We start from the raw sequence: 24,843 nt of genomic DNA, 5'->3' as shown, positions 1-24,843 counted from the left end.
AATCAGATTGAATGATACAACGGAGGAAAAAAGTTCAACTCTGATTTAGGGTTGAGGTGAGATAGGAAATCATGTAAATGTTGGCACTAATTCCTGACTCTGTAATGTTATATAATACAAAGCATTTTTTAAGAAGACAAAAACATCTATATTTTCAATATTAGTGTTAAAGTATAAGTTGTCATAATTCCTTGCTAAAATAAGGTAGGATAAATTTTTTTAAATTGTTTACATATCATAAAATGCAATCTGAAATATTTTCCTTAAAGTTAATTCTCATTCAATGACCACTGTAGAAATTTTTATTTTTCCTAATTAGAATAATTATTTTTTCTTTCTTAAGCAACAGATTTAATTCTAGGTTGTATCTTACAGTTAAACTATTTCCTAAAAAATAGAAATCAATTTAAGAATTAAAAAAATACAATCATTCAAAAGTTTAATGGCTGATGTTATTGAAAATGGTATATTGAGATCAATACATAGGCAAAGTGAAAAGAAAAAGATCCAGTTTTGCCAAATAGCTGTAATGTGCTTTTAAAATAAGATTTTCAAACCAGTCTATCTTTGGCCATTAAAACTAAATCCAGAGCTCCTAAATCAACTTTCTCCCAATTTTGTCCACTATAACAACTTCTTTCAATAGGAGGGAATCCTGCTACTAAGGAAGGAAATCATCTCTAGCAGCAAGTGATACATTCTTGCAGACTGCTATCCTGACCTCACTTGTTAAGTTTTTGAGTCTTTGGGCCTTTTGGAGCTTGAGGATGGAGCAGTTGGTTGTCGTGATTGTGCCCTGGCTGCTCATAGTCTTCTGTGGATGGGAGGGAGGTTGGATCTTGGTTTTAGTTCAGCAATCATTTTAAAATCTTATATTAGACATTGGAAGATGGATAAGGGACAATCTCTTCTCTAGAGAAGCCTATAATCTAGGTAAGCCATCAGTAAAAACATATTGCTCGTGCACCCTTGATGTATTAATGAGTACACTGTAATATATATATATAATATATATTCCTATATTTATATATTTTATCAATTATAAAACATAAAAAGAAAAATGATCAGGTAAAATATAAATGCATATATATTTTAATCTTTACTGGCTTCACCCTATGAATGGCCCTGTGCCACTTCCTCCTCTTCGTAAGGAACATCACTTCATTTTGGAGACTAAGTGAGAAACATGTAAATACTTAACATAATATGGTAAGAGCTGTTGTAGAGATGTGCCCAGGATGCACTGGGAAGAAGCTAAGCTGGGAATCTGGTGGTGAAAAAAGGCTTCCCGGAGAGGACTTCCAGCATCAGAAGCTGGGCAAAGATGGGAAGAGGACTTGTAGGTACAGGGAACAGTGTGGACAAAAACCTGAAGTTCTAAAGGGGCACTCTCAACATAAAGAGAGGCAAAGAGGCTGGGAGGAGGCTGGAAATATAGAAATGGGCCAGATTATGGAGGCTTCAAATTTTCAGGCTAAGGAGCGTGCACTTGATTTGTGAGTCAATTTGGGGCCTTCTCTAAGGAGACCTAGCTCCTTAAGTACCAGAAGGCCACCGTTCTATGGCGGCCTCACCCACAATGTCCAGGCACAAAGCCTAACATAAGTTAGCGTACATTTAGTGAACAGAACAAGCTGCCACTTCTTGAAGAATCCCAGTAATGTACCTTGAACTTTTTGTTGAAGAACTTTTGTCTTTGTCCAGTAGGAGGAATACAACTGTTTAATGATTTCTCGTAAATTGTCATCTGATAAAAAATATTTAACTGGACATATCAGTGTCTCCTTTGTATGGAATAATATATATCTCATTTAGCAGAGAATCACAAATCACACCACCTGACACACCATAATGGGTAAATCCCTCTCTATTCCCTGACTGTAATTTATTATTTAGAACACATGTTCAAGAATGGTGACATGCCCACGTTTGTTAACTGTGCGTGCCAAATTGCAATTTGTCCTGCCCATTTGGGGAACTCATTTCCCATTCAAGCTGTGGTGTGAAGTTCATGGCAAGGGTAGAAAAGCTCCTGAGTGTTTTTTCAGACCTTTTTAGAGGAAGGGAGACTTGGGGTCAGGAGGACAGAGCAGTAACCAGGAAACTTGGAGAAGATGCTCTCTGTTCCTCTAACGGCTTTGAAGGCATTTTTAGTCCCAACTTTGGCTTGACCCCAACATCTCCACTGAAAGAAGATTGCTGGGGAAGGAGAGAAATAGGGAATGTTGAGAGTGGCACCAAAGATGTATCTCATTCTAGTTCTGCTCAGTGCTTAGGCAGGATTTAACACAGTAATTAAATTTGATGTCACAATTTTCTTGCCTCTATAAATGACCGATATATGAGGGATACTAGTGATCATGCCCCCTAACTTTTTTTTAGTGAAAAGAGATAATTTAAAACTGAACTTGCATACTTTGCAGTTCTTTGGTTCACACCAGATATTTATTTTCTAACTACTATGTACAAATTATGGTGCCAAATGAATTAGTATAATGCAAACTAGTCAGGCTCTCTGCCCTCATGAAGCTGACATCCTGGGAAAACTGACATTAAACAATTAATTCAATACTTGGTCATTTAAATAATTGTGGTAACTGCTACGGAAGAAAATTACTGAGTGCTATCAACTATATAATAAAGAAACAAATCAGAGGCTCAGGGAAGGCTCTCTGGCAAGTGTAACATGGGTAACATATCTGCAGATGAATATGGATTAACTGGGCAAAAAGGGGAGAAGAAAATAATTGATTAATCAAAGTATTTCAAATATTAAAACAATGCACTTACATTAATTATATGCTTTATAGTTCATTGTCAATAAAAAGTAATGCCCTTGTTTTTTTATAAAAGGATAGTTTAAATAAGCATACACTTATCTATACCAAATTATTCTTTTTTTAGAGAAGTGATATCCAATGTGATAGTCACCTTTCATGTCCCCAGATGGACATCTTTTTAGTTCAGACTGTAAAATGGCTTCAATGTAGTCAGAAGAAATAGGCTGTAACCCACAGGTTTCCTCTGGATGAATCAGCAAACCACAATCCTGCATTAAAATAATAGATATTAGTTGTTGTATTAATTAACTTGACCCATAATAATAAAATCTAAAAAATAAGACTTTATGTGGCAAATAACCTTTATGGATAAAAGGGAGCAAATATTCCTTATCTTTCCCCTGCTAGCTTATCAATAGTTGTTTGTGCTAGAAGTAGATAACAATTTAATCTTTATTTTGACATTGATATTCATGTCATTGTTCTGCCAATTAAAAAATGAATGCAAGTTTTACTTTAAAAATATATCTGTGTCAACTCATTAAAAACAAAACAAACTATAATAGAGGACAATACAGCAAGTGGAAAAGACGGTTCATGTGAGAAGGGAAATGGGAACTATTTGGAGAGAATTTAATTTAACAGATGAATTTCATTTTAACAAACTTTTATTAAGAATTCATGATACACCAGAGTGGAATCAGATGCATGTATTTTATTCAAAGCACATTCTTATATTTACAACAGTGGGTAACATTTCACTGCACTGAATATCATTATAGAGGCATGTGCTATACTAAGCAATGTTTTCAATAGTCTGACAGATGTAGAACAGAACGATAGTGTATTGCATCTCTGAAACTTCTCTCCTTCTTCCTCTGCCCCATCCACTGAGCTGCACCCGCAGGCTGGACCAGTCTCATTTTCTCTTAGCTTATTCTGCAAAGCTGTTGGCCCTGTACCTGTCCTATGTCCTTCTATCCTACTTCATGTGGTTCCACTGCCACTCTTCTCACTGGGTTCTCTCAGTCTATCACAATTTAGGGCGTGTTAAAAGCCTATCATCTAGATTGGGATTGCTTTCCCCCTAATTTTGCATGGAGACATCTTATATTTTAGGTCTCAGCAAGGTCTTCCTGAAACTCTAGCACAATTACGTCTCCCTACTTTTGTTCATGTCAGCTCCCCCTTTGTTTCCTTTATGCTCTTCACCGTTTGATAACTGTTTGTTAGTTTGTTTATTATTTGTCTGGGTCTTTTCTACTATACTGAATGTGTCATGGGAACAAATAATTATTCCACTCACATATGGAACCAGTACTTATCATACAACAAACAGTAAACATTTATTGAATGCATAAAAAGTTAGACTTTATTGTGTCCCTCATTATATGAGAAATTCTCAACAATGGAGAGAAACAGTGGATTTGACCTCTTCTTTGCTGTGTAACTCTGGTTCTAATCAGCAATTTGTGGTTACATTCTCTCATATTCTCAACTGTCCTAACCTCAGATTCCCAGATCTCATACAAAAAGGTCCAGGATATTAAGGAACAAGAGGAATGGTGGGGGTGAGTGAACTTAAAATCTTGATTCAGTGTACATATTTTCATTTCTTAATTTATGACTAAGCATGGAGTTTAAGATACTGACTAAAATTAGAAAAATGATTTGTATTAAAGTGCTTATTATAATAAAGCAATAAAAAACCACAAAGTTTATTATAATGTGGGGAGATGTAGTCTAAATAAACATCTATAAATGATACTTGTTAGTATACCCGTGTATGTGTGTGATATCTATCCAACCATTTATTTTTAGTGGAGACTGGATCTTTTATAAGGCCAGAAAAAAGTGTCATGATTCATTTTGCAAAAATATTTTTATATGAAATGTTAGAGGGAGCAATGAGAAGCAGTTACCATTATACATTGCTAATGGGAGTGCAAGTTAATTCAGTTGCTTTGGAGAGCAGTTTATACTAAAATAAAAAGTGCAGAGACTCTGCAACCCTGGAGCCTTCTGGGTCTACTCTAGAAAAACATAAGGGATATGTATAAGGATAAATCTAAATGGACTAAGTAACATGGAGATATTTTCAAGACATATGGGTAAGAAAATATCCAAAAGTTATAGAACAATTCATGCTATCTGAAATACACACGTGTACGTGTGTGTTCACTCAATCAACAATGTACTAAATATTGATTTTGTGGGAACAGGTATGTCTCTGTTAAGAGAATAAAAGGAAATCTGGATGACGGTAGTGTTCCTGGACTGTAGAATGTGTTCCTGGACTGGAGAATGTGTTCCTGGACTGGCAGTGGATGTCAAGGAGGCTTTAGCTCTATCTAGAATGCTTTACTTTTTATTTAGGGAGAATGTTATTTTTCTAGTACTTGTGAAACTCAATCTTAGTTTGAAATATTATAAACAACTTTCACCACCTCAGCTGGAGACTTGGCTGTTCCTCCATTCTAGGAGGTACCATGTTAGACGTTACTTTTAAATGCAAAGTATTTATCTGTTTATAGTTCTATATGCTATAATGTCATCTAAACTTGGGTACTTCAGACTGAGATGTTGTGTTCAATTTATTAATAAAAATATATTTTAGCATATATATACCCATGCAAATAATGTTTCAACATTCATGAACCGGCTGTGTGACACTAAGTCACTTGATCTAGATTTCTCATTACAAAATGGTGAAGGCTGGGGAGAGGAGAAGGCAAAGAATTGCATTAGGTAAGCTCAAGTCCTGAGCTGACTGCCTTAGGTACCTACGCCATACCCATTCTCCTTTCTTCCTTTTAGCAGAAAAACCTGTATTTTGTTGGAGTAATGTGCCCAGCATTAAAAAAATTGATTTCCCAGTCTCTCATAGCTAAAAGGAGTCAGGAGACATAGTTCTAGTCAAAGAAATGTAAGTGAACACCAGCTAGGGAGTTCTAGAAAAGTTTTCCTTTCCTGATGCCACTTTTTCTTGATCACTCTGTTTCCTCTTTCTGCTTAGAATATGAATGTAAGCCTGAGAATGAGCAGCCATCTTGTGGCCATGAAGCAACCATAGGCAGAAAAAATAGAATGAGCCTAGGGTATTGGTGATGCTGTGGAGCTACCTCTACACTTTTTACTATGAAAAACAAACTCCTGCTTGGTCAAGCCACTATAGAAACGTAAGATGCAGCCAAATTTCTCTATTCCTCAAAGGGTCTCTGAAACTTATAATTTAAATGCCACATGAATCTTTTTGAGTATTTCTTTAGACCTTAAAAGTGATTAATCACAGTAATAACATTTAAAAAAAGGAAAATTCTCATTAGTGTCTCTCATTTCTTTCTTCACTGGGATGATCAGCAATTTGGTCAGGTTTAGGCATATTGAATACATCAGTTACTAAAAAGAATAAACAACAGTATTGTTGTTGTTTTGAGACAGAGCCTTCCTCTGTCGCTCAGGCTGGAGTACACTGGTACCATCATGGCTCACTGCAGCTTCAAACTCCCAGGCTCAAGCAGTCCTCCCATCTCAGTTTCCCAAGTAGCTGGGACTGTAGGCATATGCTACTGTGCCCAGCTAACAGCTCTTTTTTGGTCTTAAGTGTCATCTCTTGGAGCCACAGATCTATAGACACAGAAAATGTAGTATTTAGCAGAGTTCTGTAAATCAGCATTAGCTCCAGAAATCTTCACACTTAGAGTGAATCATTTTGTTGGAGACTTCAAAAGGAAGCGCCAAACTCCAGAGTAGATTGTCATAGTTCTCAATTGAGTGCAACAATATATTTAGTAGGAATTTTCTTGTTCATACGTGTGCAAAGTAAATATGCTTAGTACACAATTCAAAAAATTTACTTAACTTTTCATGAGGTGCTAGAGTAACTAACCGGAATCATTATGATGTTCTTGGTTTTTCCTCCTGCCTGATCACAGTTTCTCATTATCTATTCCTCTGGACACCCACTTCATTCCTTACAGAATTATTTGTCCACAAAAGAATGAGTAATATTTCTCATTTTAAATGTGATATTGCTGTATTTTTAAAGCAATACTGAATTGGACTATTTGAGCTGATCTGTGTCTTTAAATCTTACCTACTTCTATTGACCCCATGGAATTATTTCTCTGAGATGAAAGAATTCTTCCCTTCTCTGTCTAAACAATTTTAAATGCCCACCTAAATTTTAAAATATGCAATTACTCCCTCCAGCACATAGCTCCTTCCAAAGAGACCCAATTCCTCCCCTTTCCCTGGGCTACTGCCATTTCCAGTAAGTTAGCAATGATCTCTCAAAACGTGATGATTCTGGCATGGCCAAATCCCTCTGGGAAGGCAGGGAGTTCCCTTCCAGACTAGGGCTGTTCCTTTCCCCAGAAGAACTGACATTCCTGGGGAGATAAATTCACTCTTAGCCCACCTGAAGTAAGATATATTTGAGATCTTATGATGTATTTTCCCCAATGTCCTGATGAACTGCTGATCAAAGGCATCTGCTGGTTCTCTTGAGCCCGAACACTTACTAAGCCTAAGCCATGTGACTGGACACTAGCAGATCCCACATCTCATATCTTTAGCACCCTCATGCATGGACCAAAATGCAAGGCATGCTATTCATCTCTCCTCTAATCCAATTTCACTGATCTGCTACTCCCATCCATGGTAAGCAAACCCTTCTAAAATCTCAAAGGCTTCACGCAATGTTCCCTCCATCTCCTCACCTTCCCCAAAACCCATCCCGGCACAGGGAAAACAGGTGAGGGGGAATGGAAAAAAAACTTGCCCTGCGACTTTGTGGGAAAAGACAACTTGCCCTCTTTCTCTGTAGCCATCTCCAGGGAAGGCTGCCTGCGTAGTCAGGAAGTTTACTTCTTCTTGTCTTCCAACTGCCTCTTTCAAACCATTATTCCATTGTGTTACCCTCTACTGTGGCTCATTTCACCTGGCTCCTCCTTGTGGCAATCTTCTATCAACATCTTAATTATGCTTCCATGTACCAATGGGACACCTTAGCCATTGTCATTCTCTCCATTTCACAATTTGCTATCAAAGGTCTGTATGGATTCATTCTATTTCATTCAACAATATTTTTGTACAAATGCTAGAATATTTCATTCAAGCCAGGGATGCTCCATCTGTAATTTTAAATTCTAATTCCTTTTCTCAAAATAAAATATACTTTTCTTCTACCTTATTCCTGCCTCTTCTGCAGTCATGCAGAACTTCCATTCCCATGATTCCTAACTCTTTCAATTTGTGTCTACACTGTTCATTTCTATACCTCAACAATCCGCATCTTCCTTTTTTTATTTTACTTATGGTACACAGCAACTCTCCAATCCTGGAACAATCCAATCTATCTCCATCCAACGTTCTACATACCTGTCAGTGACGCCGGCAAAAATCACACAAATGTAAAGATAAATGCCAGACACATTTCCTGATGGTCTCTCAGTACTGCCTGGAAATCTTGGTTCTATTATCCTAGTTGGAACATTTCCCCACTCTTCACAAAGGCTACTTCAAACCTTCATCATTCTCCTTAAGCTCCCTCATTTCTACATCTCTGTTGGTCTCATTAGATGACCTTGTCTTCTACTTCATAAAAAATTAGAACCCATTAGACAGTAATTTGCTCAAATTCGTGCTGACAATAAGACAACCATGCCCAGATATCTCTTCTTATGTTGTAGTAAAGTAAATCTTCTTCCATCTGTGAAGGTTGCTTCTTTCACTTGTATTTTTCATCTCATTCTCTTCTACTTCTGGAAATGCTCACCTTTTGCTTTTGTTAACACTCCTTATTACCAAATACCAACTCAAAGAAGATTCTTTCTGTTACCCAGCCTTTAAGGTCTGACCTTTTCTATAGTCATGCCCTTAGTGCTCTTACTTTGCATTCTGGGAGATATCATTCATCTTCATGGCATAACCACAGCTTGAATGATCACGACTCCCAAACTGGATCCCTGTCTAGGCCACTCTCAGGGCTTCCAGACACATAGTCATCTGTTTCCTGGACATCTCCCTTGGATGTCTCAGATGTACCTCAATTTCAATATAACTATGACAGATATCATAGGTTGAGTCAAAACCCACTCTGATCTTGCTTTTCCTTGTTTTGCTCTCCTAAAGAGAACACTAATAACATGTCTCCCCTGTTTTTCTTACAGCCAAGAGTGGCCACTGACACATTTCTGGTCAGTGAAATGTAAGTATAAACTTGCAGAGAATTGCAGAGAAAGCCTGTTTTTCTGGTACAGAGGCTGTTCCTTTCTCCTCTCTTGTTTCTTCTTCTCTGCTTGTGAAACAGGAAATTGATAGCTGGAAGAACAACAACTATCTTAAATTATGGAAGAAAGGCCAAAAACTTTGTGGAGACTTTAGTGCTGACATCCTTGATCTTCTGAAACCATTTTGATCTGTGCTGACATTCTTGATCTTCTGAAACCATTTTGATATGTGCTGATGTTCTTGATCTGCTGCAAATGTCTAATTCTGGACTTTTTATTGGATAAGAAGAAAATATCTCTTATTTATTTAAGCTACTATTAGTCAGGTTTGCTGTTACTCACCAAACAGCTGAAATTGAACTTTAAAAATCATTCCAAAATCTGTTCCATCCCCAATAACCTCAATACTGTTGAGCTTGGAAGATTCGGTGCCCAAGCCAGACATTTCAGTTTTCCAAGTTTCCCTTCTCTTCATTGCCCCTAGCAGCCAATCAATCACCAAATATTCATATCAACTTTCTCTTCTTGATTTCTTTTTTTCTTGATTTCAATGGATACTATTTTGATCTGTGTCTTCATGTTCTTTTATCATGGGAATTGCCTTGACCTCTTAATGGGTCTCCTCTGCTACAGTTCTATGGACCACCAATATGTCTATTTTCCATGTTGTTGCTAACGTCATCTTCCTGAAATGCAAAAGTTTTAAACTCCCTTTGTTGCTTGAAATAATTCAAGAGATTGCATTGCATTCAGGGTAAAGTTTGGCTGTGGTCCTCCTCTTTGGCTAATCTCCATCCAGTCTTCACCCCATACTCTGCTTGACTTGAATAACTTCTACTTTGTCCAGTGCTACTTTCTGTGATGTTTCCATAAGGTTAACTGAAAGCATTTCCTTCTCAAGGTCTGTTTTGAAGCACTCACATTTCTTTTTTTAGGACGTGAACTAAAAAAACAAACATTTTAGAATAAGAGAAAAATTAAATTGCATTGAAAGATGTACTTAGTATAAGATGCACAAATATTGTGTTAGGGAATTTTAGCTTCCATCATTAGAAAATGTTTCATCAGCTCCTGCCACAAACAAATAAAATTTCAAATTTTCAAATTTTCTTATAAATTAATTATGGTCAACTGAGAAGTTTCCTGGGTGCCATATATAAGTACTGTAAAGTGAAAATCATGCAATATTTGGATTTTGAGATTTCTAATGGTTTCCCATTACAAGGACCTTCATTTCATTTCTACTACGAAAATCAATCTATAAGACTCATAATTTTGATTTTGAAACTTTTTTCTCCTTTTGGCAAGAAGACTGATTTCTTAGACATATGCTGAGAAGCAAGATAACACATCCTGAGTTGTTTGTGATTCATGCTGAAGATGTTTATCATGGAAAATATATCATATAGAGCATAACTTTAGGAGATATTCAAATATGGCCATTTATGCTATTTAGGCTATAAGCATTTGTCTATTTTTTTATTCTTTTAAAAATATCATATTCACAAATTGGGAAGGAGACATTAACAAATCTATTTTAAAAATTTGTACAGATTTATGAGGTACATGTGAAATTTTCTTACATGGGTATATAATGCTTAGTGGCCAAGTAAGGGTATTTAAGTTGTCCATCATCTGAGTATAATACATTTTTGTTAGCTGTAGTCACCCTACTCTGATATCAAACATTGAATTTATTCCTTCTGTCTTACTGTATGTTTGTACCCTTTAACCCACTTGTCTTCATCCTCCCTCCTTACCCCCACTCATTCTTTCCAGACTCTGTTATCTATCTTTTCACTCTCTACCACCATGTGATCAATGTTTTAGCTCCCACATGTAAGTGAGAACATGTAATATTTGTCTTTTTGTGCCTGGTTTATTTGTCTTAAGATAATAACCTCCAGTTCCATCGATGTTGCTACAAATAAAGTAATTTCATTTTTTATGGCCAAGTAATGGTCCATGTTCCACATTTTCTTTATCCATTCATCCACTGATAGGCACTTATGCTGATTTCATATCTTTGCTATTGTGAATAGTGCTGCAACATATGAGTGCAGGTATCCCTTTGATAAACGGATGTTTTTTCTTCTGGTTAGATACCCAGTAGTGGAATTGCTGGATTGGATGGTAATTCTATTTTGGATTTTTTTTTTTTTTGAGAAATCTCCATATCATTGTCCATAGTAGCAGTACTAGTTTATATTCCCACCAAGAGTGTATAAGAGTTCTCTTTTCTTCACATCCTTGCCAACATCTATTTTTTTTGTCTTTTTAATAATAGTCATTCTGACTGGAGTTAGGTAATATCTCACTGTGGTTTTCATTTGCATTTCTCTGATGATTAGTGATATCGAGCATTTTTTCATGTACCCATTGGCGATTTGTATGTCTTCTTTTGAGAAATGTCTATTTCTATAAGTTGCCCACTTGTTGATGGAATTATTTGCTTTTTCACTTGTTGTTTGAGTTCCTTGTGTATTCTAGATATTAGTCCCCCATCAGGAGAATAGTTTGCAAATATTTTCTCTCATTCAGCAAGTTATCTCTTGATTTTCTTTTGCTGTGCAGAAGCTTTCTAGTTTAATTAAGTCTTCTTAGTCTATTTTTGGTTTAGTTGCCTGTGATTTTGAAGTCTTAATCATAAATTATTTGCCTAAACCAATGTCCAGGAGACCTTTCCCTAGGTTTTCTTCTAGTATTTTTACAGTTTCTGGGATTACATTTAAGTCTTTAATCCATTTTGAGTTGATTTTTGTGACAAATCTTAAGTAGTCTGCCAATTATGAATTGTCTGTTCTGCTATAAGTTTATTCCAAAAATATTTTGCAAATCTCAGGATATTAGTTGCTACTTGGAGTTCTAACCTGCCTTCCAACTTACCACAACTAGTATAGATTTGTCAAGCTCCTCAAGGATAAAACTGGAGCATAAGGATAATTGAAATAGATGTATTTTTAAAGCATTTATTACATGCCTGGCATGTAAGTTATTTACACATATTATCTTATTTTTCTCACAACAACTCCTATCTTCATTTTAGGAATAAGAAAATAGAAATGCTAAATTACTGAGAGGTAGGTTTTAAATGGAGGTTCATCTCACTTTAGACCTCTGCCGCTTCATCTTAATATATAGCTGACTTTCCCAAAAGCAGAGCAAATCATTGGTTTTATAGTCTAATTTCAATCTTCCTGTGAATTAATCAATACTTTCTCTTTCACCTTTACTCCATCTCCACACAAATTGCAGTTGAAAGTTGGTTCCTTAAAATGGACTTGCATTGCTTTATGTCTTTTCAGGTACAGTCACACCAAGGCTGTTTTTGGTATAAATCCATCCACGATGTAAGCCCAGATCAGAAATTGTGTTACAATCTTTCTGTTTCTAGCACTTGTCAGAGTCCTCAGCATGTGATAAACATTCAAAACACGGCTTCTGATTGAAGCTATTGTCAGTATATAGGATCAATGGAAGGAGAAGAAACGGATGGATGTAGGTGTGGGGCCCAGCTGCAGAGAAAGGGCCACTGGAATAGAGAAAAAAGGGGAGAACATAAGGGTAAACATGACCTATATGGCCAACGCTGGGTTCCTGCTAGCATGGATATTTGGGGCACTGGAATGACCTCCAATATAATTCTGGCTCTAATGTTTTTGAGTCTCTACAGAATAATTGTCTAAATAATTCCCATATGATCTATTTAGCTCTAGAATTTTGTGTTTGTGGTTCTCCCTTTTGAGAAATTTCCAAATGGATTCCTTGTACAGACTGGCATCTTGTTCTGAAGGAATGAATTATTTTCTGTGTTTACATGGTCTTTAAATTTAACAACTCTCCTTGCACTGTAGTCAATCAGCCATAAAATACTGAGTAGCTATTGTCTGATTCACAGTATCAGACATTCAATAAACATTTATAGAATTAGCTTATGTTTACATTAGCAATAAATAATTAATGATAATCTATCTAAAGTCACCCTTGAGATATCACATTTATCCCAAAATTGAATGTTTTTCAAGAAGAGAGCAATTTATGTAAATTAATATTAAGAGAGATTTTTCTCCTTTATGGAGGGCATTTGAAATATCTGTAAAAATAATTGCATATAAATTTAAACCAGCAATTATACTGCTAAGACTTCATCCTACAAATCTACTTTACAAAGTACACAAAGATAGATGTACAAGGAAACTGACTGGAGCACTTCATAAAATATTAATAACACAAAACTAAACACATCTCAAGTGTCCATCAATACAAAACTGGTTAAATAACTTATGCTACATCCAGATAATCAAATATTTTGTAATTCTTAGAAAAGATGGATGTGGAGGACATCCATTCCAAGATGGCTGAACAGGAACAGCTCCGGTCTGCAGCTCCCAGCATGATCAACGCAGAAAACGGGTGATTTCTGCATTTCCAACCAAGCCTCGGCTGGTGACACCCAGGCAAACAGGATCTGGAGTGGACTTCTAGCAAACTCCAACAGACCTGCAGCTAAGGGACCTGATTGTTAGAAGAAAAGCTAACGAACAGAAACGAATAGCACCAACATCAACAAAAAGGACATCCACACCGAAACCCCATCTGTAGATTACCAACATCAAAGACCAAAGGTAGATAAAACCATAACGATGGGGAAAACCCAGAGCAGAAAAGCTGAAAATTCTAAAAACCAGAGCACCTCTTCTCCTCCAAAGGATCACAGTTCCTCGTCAGCAACGGAACAAAGCTGGATGGAGAATGACTTTAATGAGTTGACAGAAGTAGGCGTCAGAAGGTCGGTAATAACAAACTTCCCTAAGCTAAAGGAGCATGTTCAAACCCATCACAAGGAAGCTAAAAACCTTGAAAAAAGGTTAGACGAATGGCTAACTAGAATAAACAGTGTAGAGAAGACCTTAAATGACCTGATGGAGCTGAAAACCATGGCATGAGAACTTCGTGATGCATACACAAGCTTCAATACCCGATTCGATGAAGTAGAAGAAGGGTATCAGTGATTGAAGATCAAATGAATGAAATGAAGAGAGAAAACAAGGTTAGAGAAAAAAGAGTAAAAAGAAATGAACAAAGCCTCCAAGAAATATGGGACTATGTGAAAAGACCAAATCTATGTTTGATTGGTGTACCTGAAAGTGATGGGGAGAATGGAACCAAATTGGAAAACACTCTTCAGGATATTATCCAGGAGAATTTCCCCAACCTAGCAAGGCAGGCCAACATTCAAATTCAGGAAATACAGAGATCACCACAAAGATACTCCTCAAGAAGAGAAACCCCAAGACACATAATTGTTAGATTCACCAAGGTTGAAATGAAGGAAAAAATGTTAAGGGCAGCCAGAGAGAAAGGTCAGGTTACCCACAAAGGGAAGGAAGCCCATCAGACTAACAGTGGATCTCTCGGCAGAAACCCTATAAGCCAGAAGAGAGTGGGGGCCAATATTCAACATTCTTAAAGAAAAGAATTTGCAACCCAGAATTTCATATCCAGTCAAACTGAGCTTCATAAGTGAAGGAGAAATAAAATCCTTTACAGACAAGCAAATGCTGAGAGATTTTGTCACCACCAGGCCTGCCTTACAGGAGCTCCTGAAGGAAGCACTAAACATGGAAAGAAACAACCGGTACCAGCCACTGCAAAAACATGCCAAATTGTAAAGACCATCGATGCTATGAAGAAACTGCATCAATTAACAGGCAAAATAACCAGCTAACATCATAATGACAGGCTCCAATTCACACAAAACAACATTAACCTTAAATGTAAATGGGCTAAATGCCCCAATTAAAAGACACAAATGGGCAAATTGGATAAAGAGTCAAGACCCATCAGTGTGCTGTATTCAGGAGACCCATCTCACATGCAGAGATACACATAGGATCAAAATAAAGGGATGGAGGAATATTTACCAAGCAAATAGAAAGCAAAAAAAAAAAAAAAAAAAAAAGCAGGGGTTGCAATCCTAGTCTCTGATAAAATAGACTTTAAACCAACAAAGATCAAAAGGGACAAACAAGGCCGTTACATAATGGTAAAGGGATCAATTCAACAAGAAGAGCTAACTATCCTAAATATATATGCACCCAATACAGGAGTACCCAGATTCATAAAGCAAGTCCTTAGTGACCTACAAAGAGACTTAGATTTCCATACCATTATAATGGGAGACTTTAATACCCCACTGTCAATATTAGACAGATCAATGAAACAGAAGGTTAACAAGGATATCCAGGACTTGAACTCAGCTCTGCACCAAGCAGAACTAACAGACATCTACAGAACTCTCCACCCCAAATCAACAGAATATACATTCTTCTCATCACCACATAGCACTTATTCTAAAATTGACCACATAATTGGAAGCAAAGAACTTCTCAGTACATGTAAAAGATCAGAAATCACAACAAACTCTCTCTCAGACCACAGTGCAATCAAGTTAGAACTCAGGATTAAGAAACTCACTCAAAACCGCACAACTACATGGAAACTGAACAACCTGCTCCTGAATGACTACTGGGTAAATAACAAAATGAAGGCAGAAATAAAGATGTTCTTTGAAACCAATGAGAACAAAGACACAGTGTTCCAGAATCACTGGGACACATTTAAAGCAGTGTGTAGAGGGAAATTTATAGCACTAAATGCCCAAAAGAGAAATCAGGAAAGATCTAAAATTGACACCCTAATGTCACAATTAAAAGAACTAGAGAAGCAAGAACAAATTCAAAAGCTAGCAGAAGGCAAGAAATAACTAAGATCAGAGCAGAACTAAAAGAAATAGAGACACAAAAATTCCTTCAAAAAAAAAATCAATGAATCCAGAAGCTGTTTTTTTCAAAAGATCAACAAAATTGATAGACTGCTAGCAAGACTAATAAAAAAGAAAAGAGAGAAGAATCAAATAGACACAATAAAAAATGATAAAGGGGATATCACCACCGATCCCACAGAAACACAGACTACCATCAGAGAATACTATAAATACCTCTACGAAAATAAACTAGAAAATTCAGAAGAAACAGATAAATTCCTGGACATATACAACTCCCATGACTAAACTAGGAAAAAGTAGAATCTCTGAATAGACCAATAACAGGCTCCAAAATTGAGGCAATAATTAATAGCCTACCAACCAAAAAAAAGTCCAGGACCTGATGGATTCATAGCCAAATTCTAACAGGGGTAAAAAGAGGAGCTGTGTACCATTCCTTCTGAAACTACTCCAATCAATAGAAAAAGAGAGAATCCTCCCTAACTCATTTTATGAGGCCAGCATCATCCTGATAGCAAAGACTGGCAGAGACACAACAAAAAAAGAGAATTGTAGACCAATATCCATGATGAACATCAATGCGAAAATCCTCGATAAAATACTGGCAAACCAAATCCAGCAGCACATCAAAAAGTTTATCCATCACGATCAAGTTGGCTTCATCCCTGGGATGCAAGGCTGGTTCAACACACACAAATCAATAAAGGTAATCCATCACATAAACAGAACCAATGACAAAAACACATATGATTATTTCAATAGATGCAGAAAAGGCCTTTGACAAAATTCAACAGCCCTTCATGCTAAAAACTCAAAATAAACTAGGTATTGATGGAACGTATCTCAAAATAATAAGAGCTATTTATCACAAACCCACAGCCAATATCATACTGAATGGACAAAAACTGGAAGCATTCCCTTTGAAAACTGGCACAAGACAAGGATGCCCTCTCTCACCAATCCTATTCAACATAGTGTTGGAAGTTCTGGCCAGGGCAATCAGGCAAGAGAAAGAAATAAAGGGTATTAGTTAGTAAAAGAGGAAGTCAAATTGTCCCTGTTTGCAGATGACATGATTGTATGTTTAGAAAACCCCATTGTCTCAGCCCAAAATCTCCTTAAGCTGATAAGCAACTTCAGCAAAGTCTCAGGATACAAAATCAATGTGCAAAAATCACAAACATTCCTATACACCAATAACAGACAAACAGAGAGCCAAATCACGAGTGAATTCACATTCACAATTGCTACAAAAAGAATAAAATAAGTAGAAATCCAACTTAGGAGGGATGTGAAGGACCTCTTCAAGGAGAACTACAAACCACTGCTCAATGAAATAAAAAGAGGACACAAACAAACGGAAGAACATTTCATGCTCATGGATAAGAAGAATCAATATAGTGAAAATGGCCATACTGCCAAAGGTAATTTATAGATTCAATGCTATCCCCATCAGGCTACCAATGACTTTCTTCACAGAATTGGAAAAAGTACTCTAAAATTCATATGGAACCAAAAAAGAGCCCACAATGCCATGACAATCCTAAGCAAAAAGAACAAAGCTGGAGGCATCACGCTACCTGACTGTAAACTATACTACAAGGCTACAGTAAACAAAACAGCATGGTACTGGTACCAAAACAGAGATATAGACCAGTGGAACAGAACAGAGCCCTCAGAAATAACACCACACATCTACAACCATCTGATTTTTGACAAACCTGACAAAAACAAGAAATGGGAAACGGATTCCCTATTTAATAAATGGTGCTGGGAAAACTGGCTAGCTACATGTAGAAAGCTGAAACTGGATCCCTTCCTTACACCTTATACAAAAATTAATTCAAGACAGATTAAAGACTTAAATGTTAGACCTAAAACCATAAAATTTCTAGAAGAAAACCTAGGCAATACCATTCAGGACATAAGCATGGTCAAGGACTTCATGACTAAAACACCAAAAGCAATGGCACCAAAAGCCAAAATAGACAGATGGGATCTAATTAAACTAAAGGGCTTCTGCATGGCAAAGAAACTACCATCAGAGTGAACAGGCAATCTACAGAATGGGAGAAAATTTTTGCAATCTACCCATCTGACAAAGGGCTAATATCCAGAATCTACAAAGATCTTAAACAAATTTACAAGAAATAAACCAATCAAAAAGTGGGCAAAAGATATGAACAGACACTTCTCAAAAGAAGACATTTATGCAGCCAACACACACATTAAAAAATGCTCATCATCACTGGTTATCAGAGAAATGCAAATCAAAACCATAATGAGATACCATCTCAGGCCAATTAGAATGGTGAACATTAAAAAGTCAGGAAACAACAGATGCTGGAGAGGATGTGGAGAAATAGGAACACTTTTACACTGTTGGTGGGAGTGTAAATTAGTTCAACCATTGTGGAAGACAGTGTGGGGATTCCTCAAGGATCTAGAACTAGAAATACCATTTGACCTAGCAATCCCATTACTGGGTATATACCCAAAGGATTATAAATCATGCTACTATAAAGACACATGCACATGTATGTTTATTGTGGCACTATTCACAATAGCAAAGACTTGGAACCAACCCAAATGTCCACCAATGATAGACTAGATTAAGAAAATGTGGCACATATACACTGTGGAATACTATGCAGCCATTAAAAAGGTTTAGTTCATGTCCTTTGCAGGGACATGGATGAAGCTGGAAACCGTCATTCTGAGTAAACTATCACAAAGACAGAAAACCAAACACTGCATGTTCTCACTCATAGGTGGGAATTGAACAATGAGAACACTTGGACACAGGGCAGGGAACATCACACACAGGGGCCTGTCGGGTGGGGGACTTGGGGACAGATAGCATTAGGAGAAATACCTAATGTAAATGACGAGTTGATGGGTGCAGCAAACCAACATGGCACATATACCTATGTATCAAACCTGCATGTTGTGCACTTATACCCTAGAACTTAAAGTATAATAAAAAAAAGATGGATATAGAGTAAAGATATGGAGATATATATAAGAAAAGTTATTAAAAGCAGTAAAGCAAATTGCAGAACATGATGTATACCATGATCTTATTTAAGTAAAATAAAGTGTTAGTATATATACTTGATTGTGAACACGTAAGTTCTGGAATGATACACAAGAAATTCTAAACAGTGGATCTCTTAGAAGATTAAGAATAGAAGGCCAGAGATGGAAAGGCAAAATGCACTTTTACTTTTTATTTTACATGCTTCAATATTTCACCATTAGTATGAATTATGGTTGTATTTTTAAAACTACAATTTAAAAATATTATTTAAGATGTTAAAGCAGAATAATAGAAAAGAAGAGAACTGATAGCTCTTTGAAGTTGTATTTGTTTCCTAGGGCAACTGTGACAAATTACCATAAATTATGTGGTTTAGAACAAATCTAAATTTGTTGTCTTTCAGTTCTGGAGGCCAGAAGTCCAAAACGGAGGCATTGGCAGGTTTGATTCCTACTAAGGGCTATGAAGGACAAGCAGCCTGTACAGCCATTTAATACTGTCTTGTCTCGCAGACTTATAGTTTATCCAAGGAAACATAAGAGTGAGTTAAGCAAATGTTCCAGGTAGGGGGATGAGCACCTGGAACATGCTAGAGCTGGGTGAAACCATGACCATTCAAGTTCAGAGTAGACGATGCTCAGAGACTGGGATAGGAAGTGGGTAGAAATTAGTCACATTAATTTGGAATCATGATTTCCATGCTTGGCTCATTCTAATGACACAGAGTTCTTGAATGTGACAACAAATTAAGCTTCTTCAACTTTGTTATGTATAAAAATTATTACCAGGTAAGTCTCTAAACTCTATTTCCTTTTATAAAACTTATAAAAACTTTTACTAAGTAGCTGGCTAATAAAAGTATAGGACAAAATTAAACATCTTTACTGAGGAGTAGGAAACATTTTGACTTTCACTTACAATTCATTCCAATAAAAATTGGCAGTGAACAAGGTTTACCTAAGTAATCGCCTTACACTGAGTTTTAAGAAAAATATACAGCTACTTAAGTTATTCTATTTTTTGTGCAGAAAATTTTCCTAAAAATATGGCTTTAAAAATTGATAAGCTTCAATGCTGGGTGTTATTATGTTTTAGTGAGAAATTACAAGTACGTTTTAGTTTTATTAAAAATAATGGAACTTGAGGTTGGGTAGAGGATAGTACATACGGCTTCCCTTGCTGTTTATGTTTGGAATGGATAATCTTACTTATAACACATTAGAATCCACCTAGTAATGAGCCATCATAGAATGTGACACAGTTGTGTGTTTCTTCCCTAAACATATATCAGCTGAAAAGTGGCTATTCATTATACTGTGAAAGAATTTTAAGTTAGTCTGCAAGGAACTCAGGAAGGAAGGAAATTGAAACAAATTACAAGCAAATGAATTAGTTCTACTCAACTAAATGTATTAATATGACATTAATATTGGAAATATTTCTTTACATTTCTCATGCATTCCAAATCTCTGAGCTAATATAAAGTTTTTTTCTTTTTCAACCTAAATGGCCTTCAAATTAGCCAGGATGGGGCCAATGTGGTCCTGCTTGCTGAAGTCCATTCTGAAAGACACCCTGTATTCTCCATTTAGAAGTGTATGAGTCTCTGGTCTTTGTAGGATTTCGACTGGAAAATCTAGTGAGAGGAAGCCTGTGAAATGCCTAATGCTACCCACTTCCAGTGAGGTAGAAAACCCAAGGAAAGCAGCCTTTGTTGTGGTTTCTCGCACTTTTGGTTTTGGTTCCAGATGGAATCCAGATGGGTAAATATGAATACAAATGAACAAAAGAATGAATTTATATGCTTAGATACAACATTCAGTTCTTTTTGACTTGTGAACAAAGAAATATAGTGTTGGATCTGTGTGTTACTACTTTGGGTTCTCTCATACTTTGACCAATCTAGATCAGTTTTGGAAGTGACAAAATAATAGCAACAAGAAAAACTTATTTCATATTCCAAAGGAACAAACCTGTTTTTGTAGGTTGAAGCAGAAATAGTACTGATTGGAAATAGGTAATAGGCTGCAGAGATTTTAAAGGACAACTTTTTTTGTCATTTTTTAGATTATACTTTAAGTTCTGGGATACATGTTTAGAACATGCAGGTTTTTTATGTAGGTATACATGTGCCATGGTGGTTTGCTGCAGCCATCAACCCGTCATCTACATTAGGTATTTCTCCTAATGCTATCCCTCCCCTAGCCCCATGTCCCCTGACAGTCCCCAGTGTGTGATATTCCCCTCCCTATGCCCATGTGTTCTCATTGTTCAACTCCCACTTATGAGTAAAACTTTTAATTGATGTATAGTTGCCAACAATGGTGACACCAAACAACAACAGATGTTTGCCACCTGTTAAGCAGTAAGTAGGTTTGCCCAGGAGATATTGATCACTCCTACTCAAAATAATTGCTGTTATAAATACTTCAGCATGGATGGACTGTCCCACATATAAATAGTCTGCTAATAAAGCATATGAGGTTGTAATCCTTAAAGATGTAACTTGTGGGGAATGTTATGCTTGAGTGGCACTACTAAGAGAGTTGAATATTTAATAAAAGATGCAGTCACATTAGTTTTGGGCACCATGTGGACATTTCCTGTCTACAATTATTAGGTGGGTGTAAAAGTAATTGCGATTTTTGCCATTGAAAGTAAAGGCTTTGGGAGTCCAAGACGGACAAATCACCTGAGGTCAGGAGTTTCAGACCAGCCTGGCCAACATGGTAAAACCCTGTCTCTACTAAAAATACAAAAAAAAAAAAAAATTAGCCAGGCATGGTGGAGGGTGCCTGTAATTCCAGCTACTCAGGAGTCTGAGGCAGGAGAATCATCTGAACCAGGGAGGCAGAGGTTGCAGTGAGTCGAGATTGTGCCACTGCACTCCAGCCTGGGTGACAGAGTGAGACTCTGTCTCAAAAAAAAAAAAAATTGGCAAAAACCACAATTAATTTTGCACCAACCAAATATTTTGGTAACTGCTACACAAACACACCTATATGCACACATCTACACAGGCACACACACAGGTACACACCTCCAGTAACCCTTACACTGTGGGATTTTGAAATTTGAAGGAAACAAACATTTACAAACAAGTTCTACTTTTCTCCAGTCACAGTGATATATTAAATTCTTCTATACAGGCTTTCAGGTGCTGTGAGGTACAGGCACATGTAATACAGATGAGGCCAGTGCACTAAGAAGAACATATGGGAATGAATCATTGTGTTAACTGTTGAAGACACCAGCCAGACATCATGCCCTATCAAGTCTGTCACAAGCTTTCCAAAGCATTTCATGAATACCCCCAAAACTTTAAGAATAAAAACAGACTAACCAGTGAACTGAAGCATATGCCAGAGTCCATTTAATGCTTTAATATGATTAAATGGCCAACAGATGCCTTTAGGAAATGGTTATAGAAAATACTAGGAAATACAAAACAATGACATCTTCCAAGGATATATCTTGGCTTAGAGAAAAGCCGAACTAGTTAACATAGAATAGCATATTTACATGGAGCTGTCTAGATGCAAATATATATACATATATATGTCCACTACATTTTTTATGGAATCATATTTCCATTGAAATCACAAGCTTGGCTTGTAAAAGCCTTTGACTGCTTGACCCTTAAAACAAATCTGGGTCTTACCCCTGCCCTTGTGGAAAGGAGGAGGCAAAAACTGTGGCCAGGCATAGTGGCTCATGCCTGTAATCTCAGCTACTTGGGAGGCTGAGAAAGGAGGATTGCTTGATCCAAGGAGTTTGAGTCTAAGGTGATCTATGATCATGACACTGCACTGCATTCCAGCTTGGGTGGCAGAGGGAGATAAAAATAAAAATAAAAATAAAAATAAAAACCACCAAAACTGTGCAACCTCTCAATTAGGGAATATTCTCAAACCACCTCCAGATAATAAGTAAGGAATAACTCTCCAAAAAAATGCAATATTCAAAAGCGTAACAGCTAAGCAAACCAAAAAGCTCCAAAAAAAAGTGTAACAGTTGAGCAAACCAAAGAACATATTCCATGTTGGAACAGGGAGTCTGTAAGTCCTGCCACCAAATATGATAATTGCTGTGGACAACGGACCACCATATATTTACCATTCCTTTCTTATCTGAATGAGAGTTATCTTTGAGGTTATTCTCCATACAGAGTATGAAGTGGATATGGCACATAATTTGTCTTTTTGGCTATAGGTGATTGGACCATAAGGAAAAACTTGCAGCATCCAGTACATCTCCCAGAAATCTTAAGACTCTGAACTGGGTGGTCTCCTTTGGGGAGAATAGGGGTTCTATATAGAGTTCTATATAGACTCCCACCTCTCTGGGTAGGTGGGAGTCTAAAACCAGAGAGGAAGGTTCTAGCAGAGCCTGCTAATTTCCTCCCAGTATTCTTTCTCCCCTTCTTTCTTTTAACCCAGGAGGTTTAGCTGGACACATGGCAACTCAATTAGAGGACATTTCCATACCTCTCTTGCTGATATGTGTGGCCCTGCAACCAAGTACTGAATAACAGAATGTGAGTAGAAGTGAACTTCTGGTCACATCCTTCAAAATGAGGGTGCTTGCCTTTTACTTCCCTCCTCCTTTTCCTTATGGCTAGGAGATGGCAACAAGGCATGCAGACACTTTGGACCAGAGATGGAAGCCACGCACACAAGACAGCAGAACTGTCCAGCCAGCCCTGGGCCACTCGTTCCTATACTGTTACAAGAGAGAAATACTTTTCTATCTTATTTAAATCACTGTAACGTAGGAATCTTCATTATACCAACTTATCCTATAACCTAACTATCTAGAAAGTTGTAGAGGGTAAGAGTTTAAGAGTGTAGACTGAGGATACACGGCCCAAATCTGAGCCAAGGCTATGCCACTTAGTAGCTGTGTGGTCTTGGGCAAGTTGCTTAGTCTCTTTTTGCCTTAATTTTCTTATCTGTGAAATTGGGAAAATATGAGTATTATTATTACTATTATTAATATTATTATTGCCATTACTGTCATTATTATTTTTGAAGTGAACTTCCCACTTAATACTTGCTTGGCCAAAAGCTTATAATTAAAAAATATGTAAGACATCTTTTTAAAAACTCACTGGTGCCTATGAGTAAATTAAGATAATTTTAAATTTCACAATAATCCTTGAATCTTAATTTTGTGTTAAATTTCATTAAAAGGATTGGTGTCAGGTGGGATTCTCCCATACTAACACTTTTTGTGAAGAGATTTGGACTACTTCAAATTATATGTCATATCAAATAAATAATGATATGAAGACAAATCTCAACTAATACATTTATTAAAAACTGTGCTCTAGACCCTTGCTACATCAACAACCAAAGTTTATCTTTGTTAAAAATATATAACTTCAAATCACAGTTACTGTGCAATCCACATATCTGGGATGATATTCCAAGATAAAGTATGCAGTTTCCCTGGCCTTGGAATCTAATTTTCTTACTTTTCTTTACATTTAAATATGTTGTTTTTTAAATTTATGAAAATAAAATTATATTGCTCATAGACTTTACTTTCCAGTTGCAATAATAAATACTTGCTGAACTGTTTATAGTCTCTCATCTAATCCACTTATGTCTAATGACTGAGTATAGGGCCTGACTTAGAGGTGTTTATTACATGTTTATTGCATTAACAGATAGAAATATGAGTGCAACTGACACATCAAACAGAGCCAAAAGGATGGAGCTGGGACACTAGGCTTCACTGGAATATGCTTTCACTAGCAGAGCTCACCTGTCATAACCATAAATGTATGGCATCGGAACATGGTTGAAAATTAGACACAGAGGGGTAGAAGAAAGGGCCCGGCAGTCTACATGCACACAAAATGGCAGAAGAGTAAAGGCTTGCCATCCACTATTAATGCAAGTTTAAGTGTATGCAACCAAGTGACATATGGAATACGGTCTGCTGCAAAAAATGTATCCCATTACATGTCTTAATGTCATAAACTGCATCTCTCATTGA

At 36.8% G+C, this 24,843-nt stretch overlaps 1 protein-coding gene and 1 long non-coding RNA gene across 6 annotated transcripts in view; one reads left to right on the top strand and one right to left on the bottom strand.

Moving 5' to 3' along the window:
- CPED1 (cadherin like and PC-esterase domain containing 1) overlaps positions 1-24,843 on the bottom strand; it is a 308,732-nt gene that overhangs the window by 57,680 nt on the left and 226,209 nt on the right. For all 5 annotated transcript variants that reach the window (NM_024913.5, XM_047420856.1, XM_047420857.1 and 2 more), the window contains one exon: positions 2,932-3,049. In NM_024913.5, coding sequence (NP_079189.4) covers positions 2,932-3,049 — 118 coding nt within the window. The remainder of the gene's footprint in view (positions 1-2,931; positions 3,050-24,843) is intronic.
- The window catches only part of LOC124901735 (uncharacterized), a 122,886-nt gene that overhangs the window by 26,987 nt on the left and 71,056 nt on the right, over positions 1-24,843 (top strand). The gene's annotated exons all lie outside the window — the stretch shown is intronic.

This window comes from Homo sapiens, chromosome 7, assembly GCF_000001405.40.
Source record: "Homo sapiens chromosome 7, GRCh38.p14 Primary Assembly".
Lineage (NCBI taxonomy): Eukaryota > Metazoa > Chordata > Mammalia > Primates > Hominidae > Homo > Homo sapiens.
The sequence above is the reverse complement of the archived record's forward strand: the minus strand, read 5'-3'. Positions and strand labels throughout refer to the sequence as shown.